At 40.4% G+C, this 25,587-nt stretch overlaps 1 long non-coding RNA gene across 1 annotated transcript in view, besides 1 other annotated feature; it reads left to right on the top strand.

The window, feature by feature from the left end:
- LOC105378740 (uncharacterized) overlaps positions 1–25,587 on the top strand; it is a 71,267-nt gene that overhangs the window by 17,242 nt on the left and 28,438 nt on the right. The window lies entirely within an intron of this gene.
- Positions 22,270–22,439: an enhancer, noted in NCBI's record as "experimental_8565 CRE fragment used in MPRA reporter constructs". NCBI's record gives its function as "activates a minimal promoter by MPRAs in K562 erythroleukemia cells, with activity observed for the non-introgressed 1:56281005 variant allele {active_cell/tissue: K562}" and the evidence as "EXISTENCE:reporter gene assay evidence [ECO:0000049][PMID:34662402]".

The raw sequence follows: 25,587 nt of genomic DNA, 5'->3' as shown, positions 1-25,587 counted from the left end.
AAAAACATTCTTAAAAAGCTAATGAGCACACAAATGCTCAACTATTAGCCATGATAGAAATACAGATAACTGAGTTCTAGGTTATAGGAATATACCCCTTTCAAAACTCACATGGCAAGTTTTATTTCATGATGTATCTTAACTGATACTATACAAATGTGGAATTCTTTAACTTACATGGTTCAGAGGTAAAATGTCTGATTCTAAAACTAGGCAATGCATTTCTAAAATGTTGCATTAAGTGAACAAATACTTGTTGTAGAATTTAGGTTATAGACACAGTATTTGCTGTATCATTCACCTTTTCTGTATATTTATCAATTTCATAAAATGTTGGAAAAATAAGTAAAATACAAATAGAGGCTAGATTCGTTTGTGCAGGTTTCGATCATAATCCTGAAAGACAAAACTCCAAATGCCATAATGCCAAATGTTAGAATCTTGAAGGATCAAAATCCCACAAGTTACTAAAATTCAATTACATTATTTTAAAATGTTACCATTAATTTTTACAGCTTGCTATGCTATGTATATCATCTTTGCATCATTTCCAATACTGAAGGTATAAATTGTATAATTCTAGAGTTCTAACATATATTTTTGCAAGTTTGACTCCATGAAAGTTATCACATTAGCTGTGTAATTAGTATGTGTAAACACTGAAACTTAATAAATGAAGAGATGTCCTCTTTGTACATCTATATTTGTGAAAGATAAAATTTCTCCACCTCAGCTCTAAGAGTGACTGCATATGAAGTTGTGACCCATTGTGGGTTTTCATTGATCTCATCAGAAAACTTGAGTTATCTGCCATGGTATTTCAGATAACCAAAATTATAAACTCAGATGCACACAATTGTAAGTGATATGCACTTACATATTTCACTTTATGACCTATTTCTTTATGAACATGGTTCCTCTGCTCATAACTGTTATACCCAGGCAACTGTCACTAGTACACCTGAGTGTTCATGCTTGCGAAAAATGTTAGGTTATTGCCTATTTTGTGTAAAGTGACCTATGAAGTATTGTTGTGGTTTTGTTTCTCAAATCCTCCTTTATAAATGTAAATCTCCTTAAATTTCTCATTTTTCTTCCAGAATTTGATATTTTGATCTGTCAAGATTATTTAGACTTTAGGGAGTTTGAGCTTTCAAGATTTCAACATTCAGGATTATGGTGTTTGGGACTCGTGTTTTTACGGGGGAGAGGGGCGGGGGGCAGGATGTGGATTATGATTGGTTCATTTGTACAACTGTTTGTATAGCCACAACTGGTATTTGGCTTGTTTTCTACCCATTTCCTGTTATCCCCTGGAGATCAAGTACAACTTTGATTTATGTGCCACTTCAGATCAGCCCCCACCTGCCCTATGACCCCTGATTTTTGCCCCAGGCTGCTACAGCCACAGTGACAACTTCACCTATCTGAGTGAATGCCTGCTTTCTATCACAGTTGGCTGTCTCTCCGTCCCCCAGGCAAAGATTGACAGTCTGCAAGACCTCCATCTCCCTTCCTGTCTGGGGGTGATGAGAAGCTCCACTGCCTAGATCTAACTAGATTGCAACCACAGAGGATTTGGCTTCCCTAGTGTCCTAACAGCAGAGCCAGATTATCCAAAAGCGTGGAAGCATGGAAGCGTGGAAGCGTGGAAGAGCTCACACCCCCACGAGTCCCACTTTGAAGAGTTGTAGGAAAGAAATAGAAGCATTTCATCCTTCATCAAATTTAGGGGGTCCATGTGCCTTTCTCTAGGACTCACCTGTGACTAAGCAATTGGCTACAGAGCTTTTTTGAAGTCATGGCCAGCTCAGTAATACCCCACATTTTATGTGCTTTTCCTCCTTTCTTCCCCACTTCTACCCTTCATTCTTGCTTCCTTGGGATTGCATCTCCAATGTGTGAGCTTATGTTCCCTAGAAAATGGAGCCGGAGGCAGATCAAACACTATTTTGCTTGTTCTGCAGCTATGTTTTTGTTTACTTCTCCAGTGCTCTCTAAACTATACAGAGTAGTTCCACACAACTGTACTAGAGAATCTAAATAACCAACAACAGGGAAATTGTTAAGTTATGGCAAAAGTATGATACAATCATCCAACAAAAATATTTAACATTCAGAACATATAAAATTTTGACAGCATTTTTATTAAATATATTTGCATATTGAAAAGAGAAATTAGCTGTAAAATCAACAATGAAGAGACAAAAATAAGAATATTCATAGAAGCATATATATGATAGCCAATAGCTTGGAAACAATCCAAAAATTTAAAAGTAGACTCTTTCTTAAATTTTGTGTCATAAAATTAGGTTTGCCAGATGAAATAGAGGATGTTTATCTTAATTTTAGGTAAATATCTTTTAATGTAATTATGTTGCAAATAGCATAGGACATTAACACCAAAAGTTACCTAAAATTCAGGACACCAGGTTAAATTTGAATTATTTGCTATATCCGTTAACCCCATGTAACAGAATACCATACAACAATCAAAATGAACTATAGCTACATGGAGCAATGTGAATAAATTAAGCAATATTGAGCAAAGATGTGATTCTCCTTGCACAAAACTTGAACTCAGGCAAAACTAAACAATAGCTTAGAAATCTTCAGAATAATGGTTACAAGGTGAAGGAAGGAGAGGGTAGTGATCTATGGGGAGTATGATTACCTCCTAGGTAATGTCCTCTGAGCTATTCGGGAGATGTGGTTACACAAAGATTTTCACTTTGCTTTAATTCACTGAGCTGTAACTTAATGGATTTTATACTTTTCTACATACATGATAACTTAGTACAGTGTCTCAAGGTTAATAGTAGTTACTTGGACTGAGTTTTCTTTGCATTTTTCTATATTTTTAAACCTCGAATCTCAGACTTGGATTACTACTTATAATCAAAACATTGAAGCAATATTGTACGTAATGATGCAACTTAATCTATCTTTGGGTGGACAAAAAACATTCTGCCACAAAGTTTGGCCATGGACTCTCTCAATTGGAAGAACTCTTCAAATATTTTAAGATGAGTTTGTTTTTAATCAGCATATCCTTTTGTTTTCCTCCTGCCTCTTCACCATTCCTCAATTTGGAGTATTCAAGGGAAAGAAAATACAATGTCCTCCTAGTGGGCTGCAAAAGTTTTTGAGACATCAGGAATGCCTTTGAACTCTTGTCAAAAACAAATTTAGAAATATAAACAACCTGTCTCAACATAGGTTCAGCGCCTAGAAACTAGGCAAAACCAAGACTGAATCCAGACCTGACTAGTCATATTGGGCAAGACATTATAGCCCTCCAAACTTGAATTCTCTCACTTCAAAATCACTGAAGCTTCAATGTAAGGAGTAACACGCTTAGCCTAGTGCCTGGCACAGAGCAGGCCTTTAAGTATTGACATGATAACCCCACAATTGCTTTGAAGGTCTCCAATGGAGGGCTCTTCCTTCAGCCACAAACTTCCCATGGACCTGGGTTTGCCTTTCTTCCTCCTACTGGCAGCAGGCCTGAGATTGATTTACTCGCAATTTCTTCCTTCCTTGATGTTTAGCTATAAAATACTCCGTGAAAATGGGAGGCTGATGAAATTATGTAAGTTAAGATGTTTTCTTCCCAAGCCCTCTGATTCATTCCCAGAACAATCATCTGAGAAGAATACCTTGCCAGATAGACCAGCATCTTTGTAAATCTTGAGCAATGACTGTGAAACCACCTAAACTACAGGATGCTTATGTTTTAGTAAAGCAAAATATCTGCTCTGCCCGCACCTAATTAAAAGGGCTGATTTCACTATAACACTGTGTCACTTGGCTGCCCTCCATGGTCTGTCTTTATGAATATGCTGGGGAGAAAGGGATGAGAGATGTGCTTCATTTCATTTCTCAAACTCCCAGGAAACAGTAAAATGAGAGAAACAGCAGTCTGAGATGTTGGAGATAATTGCTGCTTAATTCTGGATTTGGTTAGTTAATGAGCACTGTACAGAAGGCATATGACAAGACCTCTTTTACAGCACAAACTGTCACTGTATATATTGGGTATGTGTCGTCTCTGTGTATTTTTGCAAATTACATTTTTCAGTGTAAGCAGTAATCCTGCCAAACAATTACAGTGTTTACAGAATCTGATGTAATCCATCTGTTGAAAAGGCTCTTCTGTGTTTAGGCTGATAAAATATAAAACAGTTGGTGAAGACTTAACAAAATCCATAGATCTTTATTCTGCAGGAATATGTTATGTTTTTGTATGCCATACAATGGCAATTCATGGTGAAAAGCTTCCAGAATCCTGTTGGACTCTGAGAAGTTCTGTGAGATAGAGTGGCCAGCACTCATGAGGCCTAACTGCCGTCCTGAATACATTACCTTCTCACTAGCAACTGAATACCAAGGCATGGTTAGGTGCACTTGAAATACAAAGTAGAGTTGACCCTTCGACAATATGGTCTTTAACTGTACAGGTCCACTTACATGCAGACTTCTTTTCAGCCAAGCAAAAATCAAAAATATAATATTCTCAATATTTAGAATCTGCATATATGGAAGGCTGACTTTTTGTGTACATGGGTTCTGCAAAGCCAACTGCAGGACTTGAGTATGCATGGGTTTTGGTGTATGTGGGGGTCCTGGAACCAATCCCTTGCGTATACTGGGGAATGACTGTGTCCAAGGTACGTATTCTCAGCTGGGTGCAGCACCACATGCCTATAGTCTAAGGAACTCAGGAGGCTGAGGAGGAAGGATCCCTTGAGGCCAGGAATCCAAGGCCACAGTGTGCTATGATTCTGCTTATGAATAGCCACTGCATTCTAGCCTGGGGAACATAGCAAGACCTCATGTCTCGAAGATATAGACATAATACATATCCTCTGCCCTCTTCTGGCATTCTTTTCTTCTAAATTTGGCATAACGTTAACAGGAAAAGCAACTCAAAGCATCTTAGTTGAATGTCCCCTCTCCCATGAAAGGTGTTTTGTTTTGGTTTTTTTTGTCTTTTTTATTACTTGTAGGGTAAGATGAAAAAATAAACTAGATGTTTTACAAATGTTAACTTTTTTGAGACTGTGTCTTAGTTTGTGTTCCCCAAGATGCAGACCGTGAGAGAAAGAAAGACTTGATTTTTGTTTCAAGTGGTTTATTAAGGAGGTGCAGAGAACACTGGCAGGGGATTCAAGAAGTGATGGAGAATACAGCCAACTACTATATTTAGCTACCACTATGGGTAACTAGGGCTTAATCTCAGAAATAGCATAGTACACACCTTTTCAGGATTATCCAAACTGAGAGGCAAGGGAGCTGGGGTATTTGTGCACCAACTCTCATCCATCACTGGTAGACTGCTGCTGAGCAGTGGTCATCCTTCAGCGTTTCCAGCCTCCCGCATGTGGCATCAAGGCAGCTTCTGAACATAGACATGTAGGTGCTGGAAGTTGGAAGTGGAGTGAAACACAATAAAACAGTAAATTCTAAGAGATAAAAGTGGGCACCAACAATGCCTGCTTTATTCTATTTCCATCTTCTGTTTTTGAGGAACTATTAATACTACCCATACTGACTCAATATTTCTATTCACGAGGGTTATGTGGGCAACAAAAATACAAAGGGGGATGGGATAGAGAAGACATGTCTTGATGCCCTCTTGGCATAGCAAGCAGCCTGTTTTTCATAGGTGGTACAAGTATTTGCTATAACCCATAGGGAGGAAGAGGGAAGAATCTGAGGATGTGGTAAGAGGTACAAGTTACCCCCTTGAATCTGTGGCTATATTCTTCCTGCCTTTTTCACATGGTGATTACAAAGGTTCTTTGAGTTGAGTTGCTTCCTTAAGACTGTACGACAAATGAGTAATGCCAGGATTCAAAAAGTCCATCTGATAGAAAAATTTGTGGATAATTATTGCTCACGAGATACCATACCTTAGAACAGTAGAGATGTACATGGCAATTTTGCTCCTCAAGGGACATAATGATGACTAGAGATACCTTTTGGTTGTCACACTTGGAGAGACATTACTGACTCTAGGGAACAGAGGCCAGAGATGCTGCTAAAAGTCTTAAAGTGCATGAGACAGCCCCCTACAATGAAGAATTATCTGGTCCAAAATGTCAATGGTATGAGGTTGACTTAAGAAGCCCAAAGCCAGTTTCCTCATCTGTCACAAAAAGGAAGAGCTATAAATTACCTACTTTCTAGCAAGTGACTCTCATATCTTAACTGTGCTTAAAATGCAACACTAAAGATCTGAGAATCAGAGCCCTAAAGATTCTAATTTAAGTAATTCTGGAAAAGAGCCCCAAAATCTGTTTCTAAAAAGTACTCCTAGTTATTTGAGGTGGGCCATACTTTGAGAAACTTCATTGTAGGTTACCATCCAGGATGCTAAAAGTGTTTATCATTTTAGTACTTAATGTGCTTGAAGTACCTCTCAAGTGTAAGCTGCTATCATCACTACTTGTGCTGACTTAATGGAAAAGCCCAAGCAGAGAAGTCAGAATCGTCCAGAATAATCAGATCAGGAAGCTGATAGAGGCAAACATCAGACAGGGCTATGAAAACATCTGGTGACTATAATATTTAATGCCCTGCCCTGATGATGGCTTTGTGACTGGTAGATTGTAGGACTTGAGTTGCTGTACAAAATCTTAGTTAATGCTGTCTATAAAATGCTAGAAATGGAGTGCTTATAAGAGCAAGATTGTTTGATTTATTTCTGTATCTCTAAAACATATCATGTCTGCCACAGTCAAGATTTAACAAATATGCTGTTGGCTAGATCAAGTGATAGTACAGTGAGGAAGTAGAGATATTCTAGTCTTACAACTGCCTAGATTTCCCAGATTTGGAGGTTGGAATGGGGCTCCTTCACGCTTAGTGACTGACAGTCACCCCAAGGTAATCCAAACCCTTCAAGATATGGTGACAAGATTTGGTAGAGTCAACTGTTAGACCTCACCCAGATCTTCTTTCCTGGGCTGGCATGAGTAGGGGCTGCTAATGGCTCAGATGCATACTTCTCCAGAAAACTGCCCTCAGCTGATGAAAGCCACTTCGTCTTGCTGTGCTGGCCCCAGAGTGGCTCAAGACCAAGCACTGCCTGGTTTCAAGATACAAAAGCACAGATCCCTTGCCTCAGGGTTGGACATTACTATAGTACCATTCATGTTACTGTGCCATGACTATGGTACCATTCAGAGATCAAGGGGTCACGTTCAAGTAAACTTCAGCTGAAACCATATCTTTGCTTACCCCTTCCTCTGCCCTAATTTCCCCCCTTACCTCCTGATACGGTTTGGATGTTTATGTCCTCCAAACCTCATGTTGAAATATGATCCACAATGTTGGGGTGTTTTGATCATGAGAGTGGATCTCTCATAAATGGCTTGGTGCCCTTCCCATGATAATAAGTGAGTTCTCACTCAGTTCATGCAAGAGCTGATAGTTTGAGTCTGGCATCTCTGTTGCTCCCTCTCTTGCATGCATTATACCTGCTCCCCCTTTGCCTTCCACCATGAGGGAAACCTTCCTGGGCTTCGTCAGAAGCCAAGCAGATGCTGGTTCCATGCTTGTACAAGTTGCAGAACCATGAGCCAAATAAACCTCTTTATAAATTACTCAGTCTTAGTTATTCCTTTATAGCAATGCAAATGGACTAACACAGCTCCTTACGGATTTCTCTTGAAAGCATTCCCTTAAATCACTTGCACAAGAATGGCTGGATTTGGGAAACCTGGCATAAGGCACTGAATTCCAGGAGTGAAGGTCAGATCCACATGAGCACATGTGCATAGAGCCAACTGACTCTACCATACAACATACCACCCAGAAGCTTGCTGACCTGATAGAGTAGTGAAGCAACCTCTTACAGGTACAGCTGAAGTGCCAGCTCAAGATGATACCTACCATACTATCCTTCTGGATACAGAATATACCCTGAACCCACAGTCACTATATGGTACTAGGTTCTTACTAGTAAAGCACATGAGTCCGGGAATCAAGAGGTAGAAATAGAAATGTCCCTCTCACCAACATTCCCAGTGATTTATTTGGGGACTTGTGATTCTCTGTAACTTCAGGATTTATGGATCAGGAGATCCTAGTTCTCATGTGGAATGTTTCCACTAAAGAACAGAGTCCCACTAATCTTAACACTATGACTGATGCCTGGTCACTTTGGGATCCCTGTGCCTGTACAAGGAGTTATCATGCTGTAAGCTAACTACTATCAGTCCTGCTCATCATGACGAGATAGAAACTGTAGCCTCACGATAAAGGCAGATGAAAAAGTTCAGCACCCAGATAATTGACTGTGGCATCTTTTGGTATTTCCATGGTCATTGTCGCTCTACGTGGTCAAGCACAGGAATAATGGCCTGATAAGGGTATAGTAACCAGGGTCCAAGATTCTTCAGAGAGTTCACATCACATCAGTTACACCCATCTAGACTAGTGGAATTGCATAGCCAAGTGGAAGCAGAATATAGTTAGGTGGTAGAAGAGAAAAATATGTATATTACTGGCTTTTGGCTCAGTCATAGCAGTGGAGGGTCTCATTCATCCCACCAATATTGCCCTTCTAAGTTTCCCCAGAAATTGTCACCAACCAGAATCCTAGAGAAACTGTGCCAGAATTGAGTAAACTTCATGTGAGCCGTAGAGCTGAGTGGTGGGCTACAATACATGATAATGGTGTCTTACCCAGATTTTTTATTTATTTATTTATTTATTTTTTATTTTTATTTTTTTGAGAGGGAGTCTTGCTCTGTCACCAGGCTGGAGTGCAGTGGTGCGATCTCAGCTCACTGCAACCTCCACCTCCCGGGTTCAAGCGATTCTCCTGCCTCAGCCTCCCAAGTAGCTGAGACTACAGGCATGTGCCACCATGCCCAGCTAACTTTTTGTATTTTTAGTGGAGACGGGGTTTCACCATGTTGGCCAGGATGGTCTCAATCTCTTGACCTCATGATCCACCCACCTCGGTCTCCCAAAGAGCTAGAATTACAGGCGTGAGCCACCATGCCCAGCCCCCAGATCTTTTTTACTGGTACAAGCATCTTCTAGCTGCTTTGTTTGCTTAGAGCTCATAACAGCCTCCTTCTCTAGGGAATTTCTACATCTTCCTGAAGTCCCTAGGAGATTACACTTGCCCTCTTTAGGGCAGTCTACAGCCTATACCAATAAAAGATAACACAATCCCCTTGCCCCAAGGTGGGACAACTCTGTAATACCACTTATACTCCAGTGCCCTTCATAGAAAGAAGGCTGAGATTTAACTTCAATTGACATCACATCTTTGAAGTTCTGCTCTATTCTTCGGGTATTTCATCACTAAGTCGCTTTTACAAGAATAGTCTTTCTGGCTCTGCTTCAAAGGAACACGGCCTAAGGCAAGGTACTTCAATCAAAACAACAGTCTTCTGCCTTCCTTTGAGATGCAGAAGTTAATCCAACACTTAATTTGCCGGATGATAAAACTGAGATCCTGAGAGGTTAACTGAATTACTCATTTAGTAAGATGCAAATCTGATCTTGAACCTGGATAAGATTCAAAGCCTTTTCCCTTTCCACAGCAGTATTTCTGCCGATTGCCCAGGCTATCTCTTACAGTAGTAGGACTCACACTGCTTTGTTGCCCTATCTCACCACCCTCTTTATCTGGCCTGGCTGGAGAAGGGTAGGCCTGGTCAGGAAGACGAGAATAAGATAACCATCAATGGAATCTTAGATGGTCACAGTAAACTAGAAATGGCACTCTGGAGGTGTCCATTCAGCTCCAGCTGTGTGCACAGCTCTAACCTAGCATTTCTATTGGAGCTAGGCACATCAATCTGATGTCTGGATATTTCTAGTTATCCCTCAATTCCAAAGATGGTACAAATTACATTTCATCAAATATTGACCATTCTATCAAAGTTCATTTGGGCCCATCTCAAACTCCCAGTCCCTTTTCTAGCCATGACTGGTGCTAGTGAAAGTGAGGTATTTGCATCTCTCAAAGTACCATGTTTACTTGGATTTACTCTGTTCTAGTCTTAAATGGACTTTGAGAGATGGAGAGTACTCAATGGACAGAACAAGGAGATGGAGCCCAGCACTGATGGGAAAGGTTATGACTCATTTGCAGGGAATGAACAATCGTGCAGTAAGCATGCATGTTGATGTCCATCTCATTCCACAAATCCAATTGCCAGGCAGGCTTTGTGCAACATATGATATGTCTCAAAGCCGGAAGGGGCTGGACTTCATATGCGTGGGCTGATCTGGGTCTGGGAGACCGTTTGGTAATTTGAGACAGGAGAAGGTATTTAAAAAATCACTCTGGGCCAGGAGCAGTGGCTCACATCTGTAATCTCAGCATTTGGGGAAGCTGAGGTTGGCAGATATCTTGACCCAGGAGTTTGAGACCATTTTGGGCAGCATGATGAGACCCCATCTCTACTAAAAACACAAAAAATTAGCTGGATGTGGTGGTGTGTGCCTGTAGTCCCAGCTACTCGGGAGGCTGAAGTGGGAGGATCACCTGAGCCCAGGAAGTTGAGGCTGCTGTGAGCCATGATTGTGCCACTGCACTCCAGCCTGGGTTACAGGAGTGAGACCCTTCTCAAAAACAAAAATGCTGGTAGCCAATGTGGGGAAATAACTAGAAAGATTTATGGATGTTCTTTGCTGTCCAGTCACAGCAGACTTGTATCAAACAAACTTTATGAACCTTCCCAGATTCTCTTGATTCCACCCACTCCCTGGACTCACAGCAGCTTGTTCTGCTCAGCTTGACTAACAACCCTAGGATCCACCTGAGGCCAACAAGTCACTTGCTCTAAGAATGCCAGAGTTGCCACACCATAGCCAGGCTGACCAGCTGCATGCCTGGAGTTTCTGGCTCCACTTGATATTTCTAGTCTAGGGTAAATCATCACAACTGAGCGCATGGGATCTGGCTGCCTAAGTAGCTGAAAGAGGATCCAGATGACACAACTTCTGTATGGCAAATTTTGACCAAGAGGAAACAGGACATGGGAGGTCACTGGGGAGATAAAATCTGTTCCATCATAAATTATTGTCAGGTGCAGTTTTTTTCTCATGGCTTCTCCGGAGAAGTCCCACATGCCATGCAACACGTGCCAAGCAATATGCTGTGTCTCTTCAGTTTATCATAAAGCAGTTGCCAGCATGACCATGTATCACTTCACATTGCTTCAATACTTCCTTGCCTCACATCCCTTCTGCCTCATCCTTGCTGCCCTAGTTTTGCACTCTTTAATTAAATCGTCACCATTTTAACTCTTGTTGCAGGCTCTGCTCTCTAGGGAACACTGGCTCACTTAGTTTTAGGCATCTTCTGCCTGCTCTTGGTTTGGTGAATTTCCCACCTATCCTTCATTAACACTTTTTTTTTTTTTGAGCCTTTTCCATGACAATGACTGCCCCCTTTCCGGCAAACTGAGTCAATTCCCTTTTTTATATGATTTTATAAGAATTTGGAACCTCATATCTCCTAGCACTTAACATTTATTGGCTTTGGTATCTAACAAAGTATGACATGTCTCATGCTCTGACTTCCCCTATTCACTTAATCAGGCCAATCCTTACTATGAGAAGCTCAAATACATTGTTTGTTTTACAAGCATCATCCACAATGGTTCTCCTAGGTCTGTTGCTCAGATATTTATAAAATAAGTATGGGGCAAGAATGAAGGAATCTAGTCAGTTACTCTAGTTGGCTAACTGGGTTTCCAGGAACCATCTTAAAAGGAGCTGGAGTAGTTTCATGTAATTAGGGCAGCTGGCTCAGGAGCAAGGAGGATCAAACAGATTTTAACATAGGAATAATTGAGTGGTTCAGAGCACCAGCCAAGGGCAGCTCTTATATAGGCATTGAGTATGGTTACATGTGAATAAATGCTGCCCCTTTAAGATGACAAAACAATGCTTCCCAGACAACCTTCCTCTGACCTTAGAGTGCTGTCTTGGCTGTTTGAGGTTAAAGAAGGGCTCTTAATATTTACAGTCCCAGAGGAAGGTGATGTTTTAATGGGCCATAATGAAATGAAAGCTGCTCAAGGGCAGGGGTTATTTGATTATCTCAATTCCCAAGACCCACATGCTAGGTGCTCAGTGACTGTTTCTTGAGTTAATGACTATCAGAAGACTCCACGGACCAAATTTTAAAATGGTTTCCAACAGGCTTATTTGTATAACCAATTTCTAGTATAGTGTTTAATTAAATTGCCTAGGAACCATTATATGCACAGTCAAAGCTCATTCTTTTTACTAAGGGAATTTACAATACTCTGGAATAGATGGACCTCTAAAACTGACAGGGAAAAAGTTAATGTAAATATTCACAGTCCCTTTGCTTCAGTCATACTCTCTCCCTCTGTCACATATCCTTTCCAGGAGAATTCAGTCTTTATCAGCTTAGTTCCTGAACCCTCTGTTTTGCAGAATTTGGTTAATTAGCATGGGAGAGAACTGAGGCACTGCATGACCAGGGTAATAATTTATATTGGAGAGGGCAAGCATTTAGTGGCAGAAGAGAAACTAACATCCAGAGAGTAAGTTAGATGTGAGCCACTGAAGGTCCAGGTTTGAAAATATGGAAAGTCTGGAACAAGGGAAGAGACTGCCAAACATCTCTGCATGTGAGAGAAATGGGGGGAATCTCTAGAACATGTGGCAACATATAGAACCTCTACCTTTTGCATTTTTGAAGTACTTCTAAAAATGTGAAATAATTACTGACTTTTTTTCTTAAATGTGACATTCTTCTAAGGCTGAACCACTAGGCAACTCAACTTTACTTGGATTATAATTAATCTTAATTCTACCAGAGAATTCAGAATCATGACTAGTTTTAAGGTGGTTTTTAACCAGTACCCACTATCTCAGAGAAAGTAACCTATTATGAGATACTGATATGTACATTAGACTGATATGCACATCAGATATCAATTTCTTCTAAAATGAGAGCTAAGATTTTTTATCACTATTTTTAAAGTGACAATACAATGAACGGGTTCTTCTTGTGGACCTAATTCTTTTAACAAGGTTAGTATTTTTGAGTGTGAATATTTCAACATGATTATTAAAATACAGAATACCTACCCTATGCTCAGTGTGATTTGTGATGTCCTTAGCCAAAAGCAATATAATTGGCTAGAGCTGACTTAGCAGAAACATTTGCTTAATCCTGTTAACATTCTCACTAATGAACTGTCCAGTGATCTAAAAAGGGGTCCAAGATATCCAGTTGCCTCCCATCACAGGGCTGATTGTTAATATTTTTCAGTGACTTTGGTCCCATATAACAACATAAGAACTGAATGGGAGATTCTACATATTGTCTTATTGGTCAATGACTTCTCTGACAAGCAATTTAAAATGGACAAAAAATGTTTTAAAATCCAATTAGACAAGGAGTTTCTTTTTTATTTTCATTATGAATTTAGAAGTTTTGAAAAGTCTTTTGGAAGATTTCCTGTTAGCTAGCATTTCTACCAAAAAATAAGCAAGTAAGTGTGACAAAGCAGACATTTCAGTAATTATAATCTGTTGACTGGACTTTGGAATTAAGCATTTGCAGAGCCTGGGATAGTGCACAGCACAAAGATAGAGGTAGGAGAGTAGCAACATTCTAAAGCTAGTTTGGAGGAGCATAAGTGTTGGAGGGTAAGAATAAAGAACTTGGCACAGGGCATTCCCTCCACCACTGCCCAGAAGCCAAATCCCCTCACTCTTTATCCGCTGGCAGGTCACCCATCTGCCTCCCACTTGCTTTGTCTACTTACTTCCCACATCTTTAAGATCTCTGCTTAGTTGTCACTTACTCTGGAACCTTCCGTCTCGGATCAAACATGTCTATGATATACTTTTTTATGGTACTGATTGTAGTCTTTGTCTTACATTTATTTATCATGTATGACTCATCTGCCAGTCTCTAAGCTCCATGACAACAAGAGTTCTTCTTCCACTATGTCACAGTGCCACACGCAGTAAGGACTCAGCTTGCCGAATGAAATTTATTCTCTAAGCCTACATTCCCCTACTTTTTAAAAGGAAGATTTTTAAGAAACTACTCAGCACTAATGTGATGACTACTTAGTTTTCAAGAAAGACATTCATCTGCTTTAGGGCGTACCAGCTTTCTACTTCTAAAAGATGCTCTGTGCCATTCAGAATTTACAGAGCAACACTAAAACAGGCCTGTTGCCTTGATTTCTCAGAGGGCTTCAAACACCGATATTGCTGGGGGTCAGAGGCTTGTTGCTAAAACCCATTTGGGGCTGTTTTGGAAATGTGGGCTCACTGAAGCCATATTGGCTTTAAAATATCACTCTGTGCAGGATGTTGCATGGATGCTGATAGAAATAGATCTAATATTTTTTAAACCCCAAACATGCTCAAATGAACCTTAGACTAGAATCTCAAACGGCTGTTTTCTTAGTTTCTTCCAACCTTTTTTTTTTTCTCTCTTGGCACGTCAGTGACTAATAAATTGCAGCAAAGCTTGAGTTTATACTAGCTCATAGGTGATTACACTGGACAAGTAGTTTTCCCAAACCCTAGGGCCCCTTGGAAAATGAAATAACCCACATATGGAAGGAATCAGCCAACAGAGGGGCCTCTACCTACCTGCATTCTCTAGCTGCTGAAACTGTGTTTTGATAAGATAAGAGGAAACAGGGCAAGAAGGAACTTAGAGTCCTAGAAACTGAACTATAGCTCTTGTTGCTGTAAAGCCCTCATCAAACAGGTCAGTTATGCCTAAGTGACTGTGTTGCAGTATTGCTGAGTTTCATCCGAACTTAATGTTTAGTCTCTATCCCATCCCTATCTACCTTTATTACCTTTTAGCTGCTACCATGACACTATTCCAGCAACCATATATTTCGAAGTCCCATGAGAATCTGTTTCAGTGGTTTGGTCCTGATATTTTCATGACTGTATGCATTTTCATTGGACCAGATATTTTGATATTTGCCTTCCATAACAAGATCCCTGGAATCGCACACAGGGTAGGAGCGCAACCCTAAAAGCTGATGGGGCAGTCAACAGAAAGGAGTAAAGCCACCCCAGTGTAACAGGGCAGCTAGTAGTACAGGCCTGGACCAACTTTTTAGATCTTTGGACCTTTCAAAATGCTGAATGCCCAAACTTCTGTGGGAAATATTCTAATTTTTTAAGTGTCTTTAATTTAACGTATGAGTATGCCAAGAAACAAACACAAAACTCCATTTGTCTATGGGCCTCATTGGGCCACAGCTTGCCAGATTGTTTCAGTCTTTTCCTAAAATCTCAAGGTTTTATCCCTGTTCATGCATCTCCCCCTGCACAAATACCATGTTATCAAATCTTATGACAACTTTGTGAGATAGCTCATCATGTCCTCATTTTTAATTTGAGGACACCAAGGCTCAGCTGTTGCCAATTCATCCCTGGTTATAAATTTCAGACTAGATTTAGGGTTTGAAAAGAATTATTTCAGATCCCCATGTCCCTGCCATTTGTCCTGTTATGCCATTATCTGAAATAAATCATGCCCCCTCTACATTTAAGACACTACAATGACCGCCCCTCAAATCTATAAAAAGTGAAAAAAGTCTTAATGTGGAGTTATTTACCTACAAGAATTGGGAGTCTAGGGTGAACAACAGTGAGAAGTAGACTCAAAAAGAGTAAGAAACGGTCAAATTCCTAGTGGCCAAATGGACACAAGACTGAAGAATAAGAATGTTTAAATACTTGAGTTGGTGTTGTGATTGCTACTGTTAAAAACTTTAGCCGAATTAGGAGTTTAATTGAACAAAGAACAATTTGTGAGTTGGGCAGCCTTCTGAGCCAGAGTAGGCTCAGAGATCCCAGTACAGCCCTGTGGTGGAAGATTATTTATGGTTCAGAAAAAGGAAAGTGACTTACAGAAATGGCTGGATTGGTTATAGCTCAGCATTTGCCTTATTTGAACAAGGTTTGAACAGTTGGCCACCTTTTAGAATGGCCAAAACTTGGTGACTGGCACAAAAGTAGGCTACAGTCTATTTACAACTATTTAGGTTACAGTTCATGATGTGCAGAGAAACATTCAGGCTGAAATTAAAATATGCAAGGAGGAAGCTTTAGGCTAAACTTGATTTGACACTAAAATTTGAGACCCTTCTATTTTCCAGTCATTTAGGAAAAGTCTGATGCTAGATAGCTGGTGTCAGTGGTATTTAGAAGAGTGAAGCATGGGGTGGTTTTCAGTGTAGGAGTGATGCAATGTGAAGAAAACGTGTGAGAGCCAGGCATTGATGAAATGGTCTAATTCATTAGAATCAGGAACCCATAGCCATTGTAACCAGAAAAAATATAAACCTCTTCAAAACCCTCCCATTCAAGATCTCAAGTTTAGAAAGGCAGTGAGTTTCTCATCTTAAGCTAAAAAATGTTGACTCTCAAAGAGCAGGATGACTCGTTGTGTCTGCATTATACCTGGAAATAAAAGGTTTCCATAACCACTCCCCACTCATGACAAGCAAAACGAATTGCTTTGGTGTGTGTTCCCATTGCACTTTGTTTTATATGCATTATATTGTAACTATATAATCCTGATAGAAGAGAATGAATCATTATCCCCATGTCTCTAGTACCTATCATGATAGGATACAAATGCTCAGTAATAACTTAGATGTTTTTAAAATCCTACCAATCTCCAAATTAGTAGCCGTTTATATTGTGTCTGATTCAATCCATTGTGTTTATACTTAATATCCTTTTGTAACTCTGAGTTTAATTTGCCAGAAGGTACTAATTTTATTGCTTCCAAAGTGGTCACTTTTTCTGTTTATATGACACTTAATGTTTCAATTTTCTCTCAGACCCCTTTGCAGACAACCAGTCAGAATACACACTTGGTAACATAAACCCAAATTAATTTGCACAGTTTTGCTTGACTGGGCTTTTTTCTCAAAGTCACGCTCCATGAAAAATTCTAACCAGGTGAGCCTTAGCAAAGCAGCTGTTTCTCCCACAGTATATAAGGGAGGAATCCTCAAGGCATGAGCCTAAGAGGAGGCAGGTGATTGCCTGGCCTACTTGGGGTCTTCGTCTAATATTGACTTTTAATTATGAAGGCCAAATGTTTGTTTTCTTATGGGATCCATTTCTGCCCCATGGTATTGACACAGTTGCAAAATGAAACCTGTTTACGTTTTTAAATGGGGTAGATGAGTAAGTTTATATTACAGTAATACATTCTGAGTGTCAGCTCTTGGAAACTCAGATCCTATGTCTGTCTTGTATGAGTTTCTAACTAAATGTCCCACATGTCTTCATCAATCTACTTAGATTTTTATTATACTTTACAAGCTTACTAAAAATATATTAAAGATATGCCATCTATTTTTGAAAACTCTTTAGAAATATATATATATAATACCTTCTGTGTGTTTATTCATTTAATATTAGGTCTGGCACAAAGAAGGGGTCCTTAATTTGTCAAGTACTAAGCATTCAATGAAGAACAAAAAGGCCTGGCTCCTACCTGAAGAACTTTCATCTTATGGATCACAGACAAAAATAGGCCATTACAAGAAAGGGTGTTAAGTGCTTACAGTAACAACAGTCGTGAGGTATTTGGACCCAGAAATCCTACTTCTAGAAATCTATCCTAAGGAAATACTGTGTAAATCATGTCTGCATTTCAGATATGATTTGTTCACTCAGCGAACATTATTGGCAGACCAAATTCATGCCAATATGGTTCACCCAGTGCTTTGCTTCACTGTGAAAAAATTGTGGAAAGAGTAGAAAAACTGTATTTAGCCAATTTGCTATAATAAAAATAATAGAAAACACAATGTAAGTGTTAGCAATTCTGTGCCAGGCAAAGATTAAAGCACTTAATCTGAATTAACATTCTCTCAAACTGCATGAGGATTATTACTATGATCCATTTTATATGTAAGAAAACTGACACCAGCTGGGAGCGGTGGCTCATGCCTATAATCCCAGCATTTGGGAGGCCGAGGCGGGTGGATCACCTGAGGTCAGGAGTTCATGACCAGCCTGACTAACATGGTGAATCCCCATCTCCACTAAATACAAAAAAATTAACTGGGAGTGATGACGCATGCCTGTAATCAGAGCTACTTGGAAGGCTGAGACAAGAGAATCACTTGTACCTGGGAGGCGGAGGTTGCAGTGAGCTGAGATAGCGCCATTGCACTCCAGCCTGGGCAGCAAGAGTGAAACTCCATCTCAAAAAAAAAAAAGACTGACATTAAAAAGTTAAATGATTTGTCCAAGGTTACTTAAGAAGTCATCTGACAGGCAGTGTGGCTTGAGAGTCTGCCTTATGTTACAGCCATTAGAAATGTTTATGTACTTTATACTGATACAGAAAGGCTTATGATATTCAGAGTTGGATACATACTACTTATCTTAGCCTGAGTTCTCCTAGAAAGCACAGACTCAGATAAGGGCTTGCTAGCATGCAATTTATTTGGGAAAGTTATTTCAAGAAAGAGAGGAGTTGTGGAGATAGAAACAGTAAGACAGAAAAAGAGGAAAGCCAATGCAAGGATGCACCATCCATTTCATCACTGAACAGCCAGGGCTCAATCCCACTGGGCCTCTGAGGAGCTGTATAGAATGTGCCTCAGAATTATCCACTTAGTAGGTGGAACTGGGGGGCAAGGGAGGATATAACCACTGACTCCATTCCTCATTGGTGAAGAGTTACTCATGGGTATCACCCCTCTCTATGTCCAGGTCAGCCTAAGCATGAGCATTGAGTGAGTACCCATCGACCTAACTCTGAGGTGCCAGGGAAGACCTAGGGCAGAAAGCAGGAAACAGGAGGTGTTGAGAGTTAATGGGTGAAATGAAAGGAAAGCCAAGAAGACAGGAGGCAGAGCAAGAAACATCTAATACCGTCCGTCCTTTCTACCAGTCATGCCCATCACTATTTCTACTCCATTTCAGCCTTTGAGGTTACTCACTGCAATCACCACAAGACTTAGTACAGGTGGATTAATCAAGATCCAGTCTCCTCTATTACAGGTAGTCCCCAGGTTGTAACTGACAGTCAACACCTCCCTCCACTCTACCCATCCTTGTTTCCCTCCTGTTCAGCTTGTGCCTGGGGAGGCCTGGGGTTCTTACTTAGTAGAGCAATCCAGATTCTCTTTATCTAAAGACCTAGGGCTATTTCAGAAGGGAATCTGGGGGCTGTGGGCTTTATCATGGGGGCAGATGACTATGTTACAGGAAAAGACCTTTCTTCCCATGGTAGGCACTAAACCTGGAGCCTTATGGACCTCTGATCTGTGGTTTATTCTTTGGGGATACCACAGAAGCACAGCAGATGCTATGTCCCTTCCACAATTCTTGAACCTTGTAGTACACCTCAGCAGACTCCTAGCTGCTGGCTCTGCATCCCTGAGCCCTCATCACTTTATTCTTATAAGGCTTTGGTTGCTGAACTTAGCCTTTTTGCAGCTATCATAGGCATGGAATTTCCCAGAGATATGCTGTTGGACTCCCACCTGTGCCCCACACAATGGGGATAGGTAATAGTTGAAGGGGTGTTACTGCTACCAAATTGTGCTCTTCATAGTTAAAAGGGAAATTTACACACATTTTGCCACAATAAAAAATACCTTAAAATGAGATGATACACTGTTCATATGCAATTTTAATTCCTTTTTTGCTTAACATTTATAGGATGCCTTCCTTTATGTGGACATGTATATAATACTATCAATGGCTATTTCTAAGTATTATACAAGTGATTTGTTTCTTCCTAATACTTTTATATATCTTCCAAACATTCTCTAGAGTTTCTACAATGAGAATAATTAGCTTTCATAGTTTTGAAATTTTCCCAAGGAAAACATTGGGTATTAAGAAATGGCACCTGACCTTCAGAACCTAAATGATGTTTATAATGTTCCAATCAACTCGTCCTTTCCATATTGACTTTTTGGTTAAAACATTTTGGGAATCATTCAAGGGTAAGAAGGAAAAACAGATCTGTGTCCCTCAATTGTGGGAGATTTAGATTATGGCCCCTACAGGGTCTGCCCTCACCCAGCTTTCTGACTAGCTCAGCTCTAGAGAGGGCTGGCATTATTGGCATGATCTTGGACCCCCATCTCTGCAGCTTCCAGTGTTGCTATTAACAGGTGCTTGCAGACACTACTAGGAGCAGAGTCGATTGCTCCTAATCCCTTGGGTCCCTCAAGGGTGTGCCTTGTCAGTGCCTACCTGAGGCCCATACCACCGCCCCTTGCCTTCTGCCCTGGGGTTTTCATATCACAGTTCAGATGAACTAACTTCCTCAGTTGAACAACCTAGAAGTGTCCAGTGGAGCCATATCTGTCCAGTGTGAGGTGGTGAACAAATTCTTGAAGAGACAGTCTGGAGACATAGCAGCTTCATAGGGTTTCTCTAAAGGTGCCCAGCAAGACTAGGTAATTGGCTTGTTGCCAAGCTGTGGTAACCCAGAATGCATGGTTACAATGATCTCCTCTCCCCTTCCCCCATTCCTTTTTCCTTGTCTCTTCCCTTGCCTCCAACTCCTGTTTCCTTGGAATTTTATTCCCCAGCAAAGTGTTAGCACAGAATCTTTAACCTCAGGCTAGAGGTCTAAAGTTTCTAGAAGAACTGGGTAAAAATTCTATCCACACATTTTTTTAGGCCCTGTGTGTGACTTTAAGCAAATCACTTAAACCTCTGAGTTACATCTTATGTAAAATGAAGCCAACAGAGCTTAAAGATTGAAGTGGTTGTACGTAGAAAGAGTTGAGTGTTTGTTTAATGTAAAAAGTGCCCAGCGTATTTCCTGACAAACTATACTCAACAAAAATGTATCTTTCTCATTTTGCCCTTGGCTATCGTATAGTTTTTACTGTGAGCCTGCTTGTGTGGCTGGTAACCTATAACATAAGTGGAAATTTAGGAAGGTGAATCAAAGGGAAAATTGTCAGTACAGAAGAGAATAGGGTGTTGGTGACTTCATGTGGTTCAGTTTCATGTGACCTAGGGAAACAACCACATAACCCACTACAAACTGCACTTGACCACATGAATCCAGGCTCTGTTAGGCAGAAGTCAGTCTGTGGGGTTTTCTGGGAGGTTAGCTGTGTCAGCATTTTGCTCAGTGTTTTCTTTATAGGGCCAAGACAAGAACAGGATTTCCTTTCTCATCAGCTTGTTTCCCACATGTTGAAGTTACCTCTGTTAACCTTCCCAATTCCAAACAAGCTTGCCCAATAGGGCTGTTTATCTTTTAAAGGGCCAGTTTTGTATGTATTTACATCTTAATGAGGTTTCGTGTTATAATGGAGAGAGCATAGGTTGTGGAGTCAGACAGAATCTGGGTCTGAGTTGGCTTACTGTTTAGCTACATGACCTGGACAAGCCACTGAGTCTCTCAAGTGAGAATGAGAAAGGCTAATACCTATAACATAAAAGCTGTTGAGAGATTGGTGACCTAATAGGAGTTTCCATTTAACATAATGCCCAATGTTTAGGGGATACTAAATCTTTAGAAAATATTCTCTGTTCTTATTTTGGACTGTTAAATGGTTGACACATCTATTAGCAACCAGAGTTTTAGTTGAATTAATTCTAACATACAGTTGCCATTTTCTTCTACCCAAGCTGCAACTGTGCAAAGCAGCTTCTGTTTGCCCTTTCGGATCCACTCCCCAGCCTTCCTGTTTTGCTCTCTGCCCGAGAGACTGGCTTATATGAACTACATCAGTGTGTTCCCCTGCTCTTTGACATCTGGCTGAGTTCAGCCAATGGGGGACCAGACAGGAGAAAAGGGGGAGTGACGTTCCGTGTACTTAATCTAACTCCTTCTCTACAATCTCTCCTTGAAGCTTCCAGGAACCACTGCCATTCCCTCATTCTTCAGCTGGCCCAAGCCCCAAGTTGGACTATGCCTTATGGTTCCTTTACTGCTACATCTCTAATATAGCCAACTGGAAAAACTGTCAAACTCATCCTAATCAATGTGTGTCATCTATTGTGACATTGAGCAGTACATAGAATCTACACGTCATAGAAATATAATTTCACCTATTCTTGTGTTGAATACATTTACTGTTTGTGGGGATTGTATTCCTGTTTAACTGAGGTGTTATAAGAGGTTTGATAACTTCCATGAGAACACCTGGGTAGTCAGTGGTGGTGATGAGACCTGATTAGCTGCACTAAGTCAAAGTCTCTTCTGCAGACACTCCTTACCAGCAGTGGTAGCAATAGCATAGGTTAATCTGTACATCTGTCACCCTGATGTGAAAGCATCTAGACAGAGCTAGCCAACAGGGATCAGGACTGGGAGCAGTCTTGCAGTCAACCTGAGAGACAAGCCCCTGGATGATTGCTATGTAAGGCAGGGAGAAGTGGGCTATAGATCTAGGCAGACAGAGTCCAGTGCCTGGAAGTTCAGGAGCAGCATGGGGAAAAAGGGGGATAATGCTTTGATTCTAGAACAGTGACTATTTTGCTCACTGGCCTGATCTATTTGCTCAGTGGCCTGATCTATTTGCTCAGTGGCCTGATCTTCTCTGACCAATATCATTTTACAAACACACATACCCACAACAAATAAGGAGACTGCAGAAATGTTTATCATTGTGGCAACTGTCCCAGGTGCCCCTTATTTTTCCCCATCGTATTTATGATCCCATTTGATATTTATAATCTTGAACATAATACATGGAATATAGATGCATTTGGGTTGATACCTCTGAAGATTTTGGTCCCCTAACCTATGTGAATCTTCTGTGCTTGCATATGAGGCCTTCCCTTGTTTACTAAGAATTAGCACCCATCCCTTTGCCAAATAAAGTGCTGTAAGAATTGCAGAGATTTTGTGACCTAACTGCACCTCTTCTATCCTCCTGGTGACCAAGCTTAGATTATGCTGTAACTAAGCCTAGTCATATCTGGAAACATGGATAGGAAGCCTTCTCCTAGCCAATATGTTACCAGAAAAGGATAGAATACACGGAGAACTGACTTCTGACATGGTTGATCAAAGAGGGCAAATAAAGAAAAGTTTATTTGGGCACAATCTCCTACAATGGCAGGACTTAACAGCCTGCCAAGGATCTCAGGAAATGGTATGAATCTGCTATTATGATGGCTTCTAGAAGCATGGACGTTGTAGCTCATACTCAGCGAAGCTTAAATGCAAAAAAAAAAATGCTGTGCTTAAGTGGCAAAAGAAGGTATTAAAAAGCTTAGAAACAGACTTGCTGAAGGGTATATAATGTATGACTGGAAGACCCAACAGATGTGTCCCATAGGAAGATGCTGAGGGCAATTTTATGAAGGCAGTAGAAAATGTGCCAGTGAGTAGAACACTAGTATCACTAAAACATGCAATGGCGGCTGTCCTGTTAGCCAGATGGAATGAGCAATATACATTCACTGTTATCCCCAGGCCTAAGTTAACTTTTCTGCCTTATCTCATAAGTTTAAAGTTATCTGGACCATCTGGATACCCTGTAGAACATTACAATGATCTATTACATCAATGAACTTCTGTTGATTGATCCAGATGAGTAAGTTAGCCCGCATACTGGCAGCCTTGGTAAGACACATATACTCCAGAATATTAAAAGGTTTGCCATATCCATAAAATATTTAGAGGTCCAATGGTCAAAGGTATTCTCAAATTTCCCCTAAAGTAAAAAAAACAAATCACTGCCACTTATATCTCCTGCCACAAAGGAGGAAGCACAATGCCTGATGGGCCTCAGGTTCTGGAGGAAGCTGATCCCACACACAGGGAAGCTGCTCTGGCTTATGTCCCAGGTGATGCGAAAGCCTGACAGCCTTGACCAGACCCAGAGCAGGAAAAAAAAAACCAAAAACAAACAGATGCTTGTCCAGGCCATGACGCAATCAGCCCTGTTGCTTGGGCCATATGATCTGGCAAACCCTATGATAGAAGTTTCCACTGGGGAAAAATGTGTGTGGAATTTATGGTAAGTCCTAGGATGACAATCACAACACGGGCCCCTGAAATGGACAATGTACATTCACTGTTATCCCCAGGCCTATGTTAGCTTTTTTGAGCAATGCCATATCATCTCTAATGGATAACTGTACAACTTTTTATTTTACCAATTTAAAACTTCCTTTTTAAAAGGAATTCATGTAGTAAGGTATTTAACATAGTAGTTCCTCATAGATAGTTCTTTCTTCTTTATTACTTCTCCACATGCTTAGTAATCTTTTCTAAAATTTACTAGGAGTTGACATTAAGCTCACTGACCTATAACTTTCAAAACTCTACCTTATCCTTTTACAAAAGTTGCATATTTTCAACTCTTGCAACCTATTCTTTCTCTGATTAACAGAAGTATCCTTATGTCAAACCTACAAGTTCTGAAAAATTACTTTCAGATGTGCTCTTCTGAGCCTAGAAAAAGTAGAGATAACTTTATAGTTTATAATTTAGTTGATCTTTTCCCTAACTTTGTTTATGCCCTCATAACTATTTCATAGCTTGAAAAATGTTTTCTTTGATAGAAGTAGAAACAGAAGAGAGACTGGGTATTTTTGTACTATCACCAGTTAGTCCTTCAAACTGCTCTCAACTACCACCACCAAATTGAATGTTATAATACCCCCACACTCCCCATCATGAGCTGAATCCTGCCAGACCCACCAAGTCATAAGGTCAGATGGGCCCAGCAACACTCCATCAAAAGATTGAAATGGTACATTAAAGATCAAACATGGGCGGAACTGGAAGTCTCAAACAAGCTAATAAACAGGTAGCTCAGACCCACCACTTATGCAGCAGCATGTTTCCCTTAGCTTATGCCTATGGCCCTGGGTTTGGCCATGTACGAGGTGGGAGACAATAAAGTGGAGATATTGAGTCTGTGGCTGTATGTGTGATTCTGGTGCTTGGGAGAAATTCGTCAGATACTCAAGTCTTACTCTTGACACTATTCTAAAGTGCTCCACAATTAACATTCTTAAGTTAACTTTTGTCCATAACTTGTTAACTTTTGTTACAACTCTTAGCCACCTTGGCATCTGGTGACCCTAATATCAGCCAAGTCCTTACTGCCTTGAGGTTTCATTTTTCAACTATGATGCAATGCCTCCTGACTTAGGATATGACCTGTAACCACTGACCCTTGACAACTGGCCTTGGTTTCACCTCCTTGGTCACTCCCTTTGCCCCCTAGGTAATATTTGCAGTCCATTTACCTCTTTTTTGACTCTTATCTCTGACTTGTCTTCAATATCCTGAAATTATGATGAACTGCTTGGTTCTCACAGAGTAACTCTGCAATGACTCAGAGTCACAGCCTCTTCCAAAGACTGGAAAAAAATGCTTATTTTTTTTTATTGAAACCAACAGTTTCAATAAGCAAAGAGTAATCAAAGAATCTCTTGAAACTTTATAGAATCATACATTTAACTTTTCCTAATGTTTGTGTACATAAAAAAGCATAGACAGTGCTTCTTTATTTTTGCCATTCACTGAGCAGTATTTTATAAACATCAGATACACTCAATATTGAAATAAAACATAGCAGTCAGAGAGAGCTATCTATAAAGCAAAGGGCAGAA

The sequence above is a fragment of the Homo sapiens genome, chromosome 1 (assembly GCF_000001405.40).
Source record: "Homo sapiens chromosome 1, GRCh38.p14 Primary Assembly".
Lineage (NCBI taxonomy): Eukaryota > Metazoa > Chordata > Mammalia > Primates > Hominidae > Homo > Homo sapiens.
Note: the sequence above shows the minus strand (reverse complement) of the source record. Positions and strands in the feature narration are given on the sequence as shown.